General features: G+C 40.5%; 1 pseudogene; it reads left to right on the top strand.

The window, feature by feature from the left end:
* RPL29P27 (ribosomal protein L29 pseudogene 27) lies at window positions 2,927-3,537 on the top strand (annotated as a pseudogene).

The raw sequence follows: 5,445 nt of genomic DNA, 5'->3' as shown, positions 1-5,445 counted from the left end.
AACATGAGATAATGGCATTAAAAGATAAATCTTCAAGGTCAACCAAGGTTTATAGACATCAAAATCTCTGCACTCCTGCCCTGTCTTCTCTAAGTATCTTCTATACTTTCCTGCTTGAGACTTTTGTTTTCCCTCCATGTGCTGGGTGTCTTACCCCCTTTCCTCTGCTTATCTAAAAGCCTCCATCTCTCAGGGCAGGACAGGACATAAGGTCTCTCACTGAGCCTTCGCCTGAATGAAGTGTGTGCTTGTGCCCACAATTCTACTACACAGGTGACTTTCCTGTCTTATGCCAGGTCAGGGACCAACCACATTTTGTTCTGATGCAGGTGCAGCCAACTCCTCTTGTTGGCTTTAAGTTCTCAGGGTTAATTCCATCTTTGTTTAGCATGTTCATTGTAATTACATGGGAGAGACTTCAGTTTTTGCATCAACTTTCAGCGTTTTTTTTCTTCCTTAAATATCACAGTTATTCCGTGTCAAAATTTCTCCCAAGTCTATTGTGAACATCACTAGCAGTTGTGCTGTCTGTGCAAAGAGTGAGACGGAACATGCTGATGTTGCAGCTGCTGCCATGTACTCGGCTGCTCCAGAAGGTTTTACATTTTTTAATGTAATGATAGAGGTTTCAGTTACTTACAGGATGTAATTTTAAATATATATTTGCAATAGAACCAGCTTGATGTGCTTACTTTTCCATTAATAGAACACTCTGCACTTTTTGGAATGCATGTACCAACCTTCCCTTAAAGCTCAGCTGAAACTTTAACTCCCTATTAGGCTTTCCAACCAATATCTTTCTCCTCTAATTTTCCTTAGTTCTGTCTGCTCCACTCATTTAAGGCCTATAATCCCTCTCTTATTGTTTCTAACCGTTTATGTGTCATTACATGTTCCTTGAAGGAAAGAAGATTCACCTACCCTTTCTTCTTCTACCTAATACAAACTACTCACCTCGCAAAACAATCAATAGTTATTTGTATCCACCTTGTGTAGCTTAGTGTTCATTGCTGGAGTTTGTGAGGGCTGGGGGCCTAATACACAGTATCTCACTTCCCAGTTAGAGTGATGAACATTTAGAAAAGTAAGACAGGGAGGTGAAGAGATAAGAGATGAGTTACTAAAGATGAAGTTGGAAGACACAACTCAGAACGAGGCGGTTGGGTGTCCTCATTGTCCACTGAACTCAGTGGTGGTAGGTGGTACTCAGTGAGAGCTGCCTCCTGCAGATGGGGAGAAGGCTGACCCCACGGAGTGGTGGAGAAAGGATTATCATGTAGACAGCTCACTCCCAAAGGAAGAGGGATAGAGGTATTAAACTCAATCATATCCATTTCAAATAGACCAATCCGAAAATCAGTCTAGCCGCTTTGAGGCAGAGTGGGTGAAGGGACAGACAGAAGTCAGGAGGCTTACACTTCTAAGTTCCCTCTGCATGAAGGCCACATGAGAACTGCTCCTCCTCAACAATTATTTTTAAATAGTCAAAAATCTATCAAATTTTGAACACACCTCTTTCAAACCTTGCTAACTGCCAACACAATCTTCTGAAGTTATCCATCACTCATGAAACAACAAAAACAAAGAAGAAGAGTGATTTTATAACATCATAAAATGCTCGTGTTACTAAGGATTTGATATGGTTTGGCTGTGTCCCCACCCAAATCTCATCGTGAATTGTAGCTCCCATAAGTCCCACATCATGGGAGGGACCCGGTGGGAGGTAATTGAATCATGGGGGCAGATCTTTCCCATGCTGTTCTCGTGATAGTGAACAAGTCTCAGGAGAGCTGATGATTTTATAAAAGGGAGTTCCCCTGCACACGCCCTCTTGCCTGCTGCCATGTGAGAAGTCCCTTCGCTCTTCATCTTCCACCATGATTGTGAGGCCTCCCCAGCCATGTGGAACTGTGAGTCCATCAAATTTCTTTCCTTTATAAATTACCCGGTCTCGGGTATGTCTTTATTAGCAGCATGAGAACAGACTAATACAGGATTAATACACCAACACTTTGTAATCTGTTCACTGGACTAAATCCTTTCTTTCCTTATGGCTGCATAAATATGACCTACCTATAATTCACCCCCACCTCTCCAGAGACTAGAGGAACTGCCTAAGTATGAATGAGGCCTGTTCATCTCATAGAGATTGGAAAGAAGGATGATATCTGTCTAAGAGGTTAATTAGGCCAATTCAGGGAATAAATTCAAACCCATGCCCAAGATTTTTTAGGGTAAGGGAGCAACTTAGTTTATAAGGTAGCAGGCTAAGGTTTATGACTTAGTACTTGATACTTTCTTCTTCCTTTTTTTTTTTTTTTTTTTTTGAGACAGTGTTTTGCTATGTTGGCCAGGCTGGAGTGCATTTGTGCCATCATAGCTCACTGCAGCCTCAAACTCCTGGGCTCAAGTGATCCACCCGCCTCAGCCTCCTAGGTAACTGGGACCACAGGCATGCACCACTACACCCAGGGTCTCACTATATTGCCCAGGATGGTCTCAAACTCCTGAGCTCAAGAGATCTTCCTTCTTCAGCCTCCCAAAGTGCTGAGATTATAGGTATGAGCCACCATACTGGCCTCTTATTCTTAATAGTTCCAAGAAGAAGCTTAGAGTTTCGAAAATAATGCTAACAGGATGTGTCCTGTGGTGATAACTTTTGTGGATAAAGAGTGAAATTTCCCAATAAGTAGGTGTTGATTTCAAAGAGTGGAGGAATAAAAAAGGGCATTATATCTTGGAAAGAAAAGTAGAACTGGGGACAAGAAACAAGGTTAGGAACTGGGGTGGACAGGACTCTGCTTATGAAGCCTTAACTTTGGAGATTTTTCTTTTTGATTACAGAAATATTAAGTGGATGGTCAACTTTTTTTCCCACGATATATCATAATTCTCTTTGGTTTTGTCTCGTGCATAAGAATAGTCAGCTATGGGAGCTGTGGCTTATGGTGCAAACATCGCCAAGTCCAAGAACCACACCACACACAACCAGTCCTGAAAATGGCACAGAAATGGCATCAAGAAACTCCAATCACAAAGGAACCCCAATCACTAATCTCTAAAGGGAGTGGACCCCAAGTTCCTGAGGAGCATACACTTTGCCAAGAAGCACAAGAAAGGCCTAAAGAAGATGCAGGCTAACAATGCCAAGGCCATGAGTGCACGTGCTGAGGCTATCAAGGCCCTTGTAAAGCCCTTGAGGTTAAGCCCAAGATCCCAAAGGGTGTCAGCTGCAAGCTCGATCAACTTGCCTACACTGCCCACCCCAAGCTTGGGAAGCGTGCTCATGCCCGCATTGCCAAGGGGCTCAGGCTGTGCAAGCCAAAGGCCAAGGATCAAACCAAGGCCCAGGCTGCAACTCCAGCTTCAGTTCCAGTTCAGGCTTCTAAAGGTGCCCAGGGCCCTACAAAGGCTTCAGAGTAGAGATCTCCATCTGTCAACGTGAGGACAGAAGGACTGGTGCGACCCCCCTGGGCTGCCGTCTGCATGGGGCTGGTGTCTTCCTGTGCTATTTGTACAAATAAACCTGAAGCAGGAAAAAAAAAAAAAAAGAAAACAAGAATAGTCAGCTACATCTTTATAACCTTGTGAGGTGGCAGTAAAGAGCGTAATGGCAGAACTGTCAATGATAGTGAAGCTTATCCCATGCTCAGTCACCACCTCCTTGACCATCTCCGGCTCCACAGAAGCCTTTGAAGATGTGGCAGAACCACACCAAGGAAGAGAGGGGGAATCTATGTATCTCAGATGAGTGGTAATAGTGATGCCTCAGAAACAAATATGAACTAAATTGCATAAGGAAGTGATTCTTAATGGGGAGAGAAATCTGGCCTTTAAGTTATTTATGGAAAAGCCACAACTATCGTAATAATACAATCATCTATTTCCTTGAACATCATAGGAGCCATTTCATTACATTGGCATAGGTTTTATAAACAAACATAGATACTAACCATCAGCCAAGTAAGAGATGCTCAGTGATTCTTTCATCAAAACATATTGCGGAGTTGCTTCCTTTTCCTAATTTGTTTCTATGAATAATCTGTGGAGTTGTGCAACATGCACATGACACATGGAAATCAGAGTTATGGCTTTTATGTAGACCACATTGTTTTTTTGCCTGTAAATTGCCTCCAAATGGCTTGAAAGAAATACTGCTTTATAGTTTAAGTCAACCAAGAAGGGCTACCTGAAAGCATTTACACCTAATATTCAGTAGAGCCTACTTCAGTGATCCTCCATCGCGCCATGGAAACAGGCTCTATCCGTTAGGGTTTCTGCCTAAGGAACACTCCCACTCAGGTATAAGACAGTTTAGAAGTCTTGTGCTGAAAAGGTACAGGAAGAAAATACAAAAGCCAACTGATTGGAAGAAATCTGCAGCATCCTAAAAGTCATTGTAATTAAAACACAGAAGTTTGTAATTATTCTGAAGGAAAACAACATACTAAGAAAGGCACAAAAATATGAATGTGGTTTCCCAAGGCCTTGCTACATTAATCCAAATTGACTTGGGCAGATATGAAATCCTCAGATGGGCTGAAAACTAGTTGGAAGGCTTAAAACAAAAGAAAATGCAATATAATTAGGTGGAAAGAGCAGCCGATTTGGAGTCACTGGAATATGGTTAGTTCTGCCATTGACTAACTGACTGACCTTTGGCAATTCATGGAACTTCTCTGTGACTCAAATTTTAAACTGGAAAACAGGATATTATTACTTAACCTTGGGTTAAAAGAATGTGTGCAAAGGCTATTTTGTTTTCAAAGGCTATTCCCTTCCACGCCTCTTTCCTTATCTCTGCACGGTGACAGACAACCCCCACCTCACTTCTCCACCAGGAACCTGCTTCATTTTCCTTTTTATATTCAAATTATTCCTTATCATAGGCTTCCTAGTTCACAAATTTTGTTTTTTATGTTTCCTAAAGCCAGCATTGAATATTGTATTTTATTTATTTTTAAACTATAGACATTTTATTTGGATAACTTTTCCTATAAAATCATATTTTTTCTCATCTTTAGTTTTAAATAGTTTTTAATTTTTTAGTTTTTGATTTTTTTACTTTTTTACATATATATTTTTATTTTTAAGTTTTGTATTTTTAATTATTATGGGTACAGAATAGATGTGTATATTTGTGGGTTACATGTGATGTTTTGATATAGACACACCATGTGTAACAATCACATCCGGGTAATTGGGGTATGCATCACCTCAAGCATTTATCATTTGTGGTAGGAACATTCTAATTCCACTCTTTTAGTTATTTTAAAATATACAATAAATTATTATTGACTGTAGTCATCCTGTTTTTAATCTTATTTTTAATTGATCAGAACTATATATGGGGTTCAATGCTATATTTTCATACATGCTTACGTTGTGGAATGACTAAATCAAGCTAATTACTGAATCCATCATTTCACATACTTATCATTTTTT

Source organism: Homo sapiens, chromosome 12, assembly GCF_000001405.40.
Source record: "Homo sapiens chromosome 12, GRCh38.p14 Primary Assembly".
NCBI lineage: Eukaryota > Metazoa > Chordata > Mammalia > Primates > Hominidae > Homo > Homo sapiens.
The sequence above is the reverse complement of the archived record's forward strand: the minus strand, read 5'-3'. Positions and strand labels throughout refer to the sequence as shown.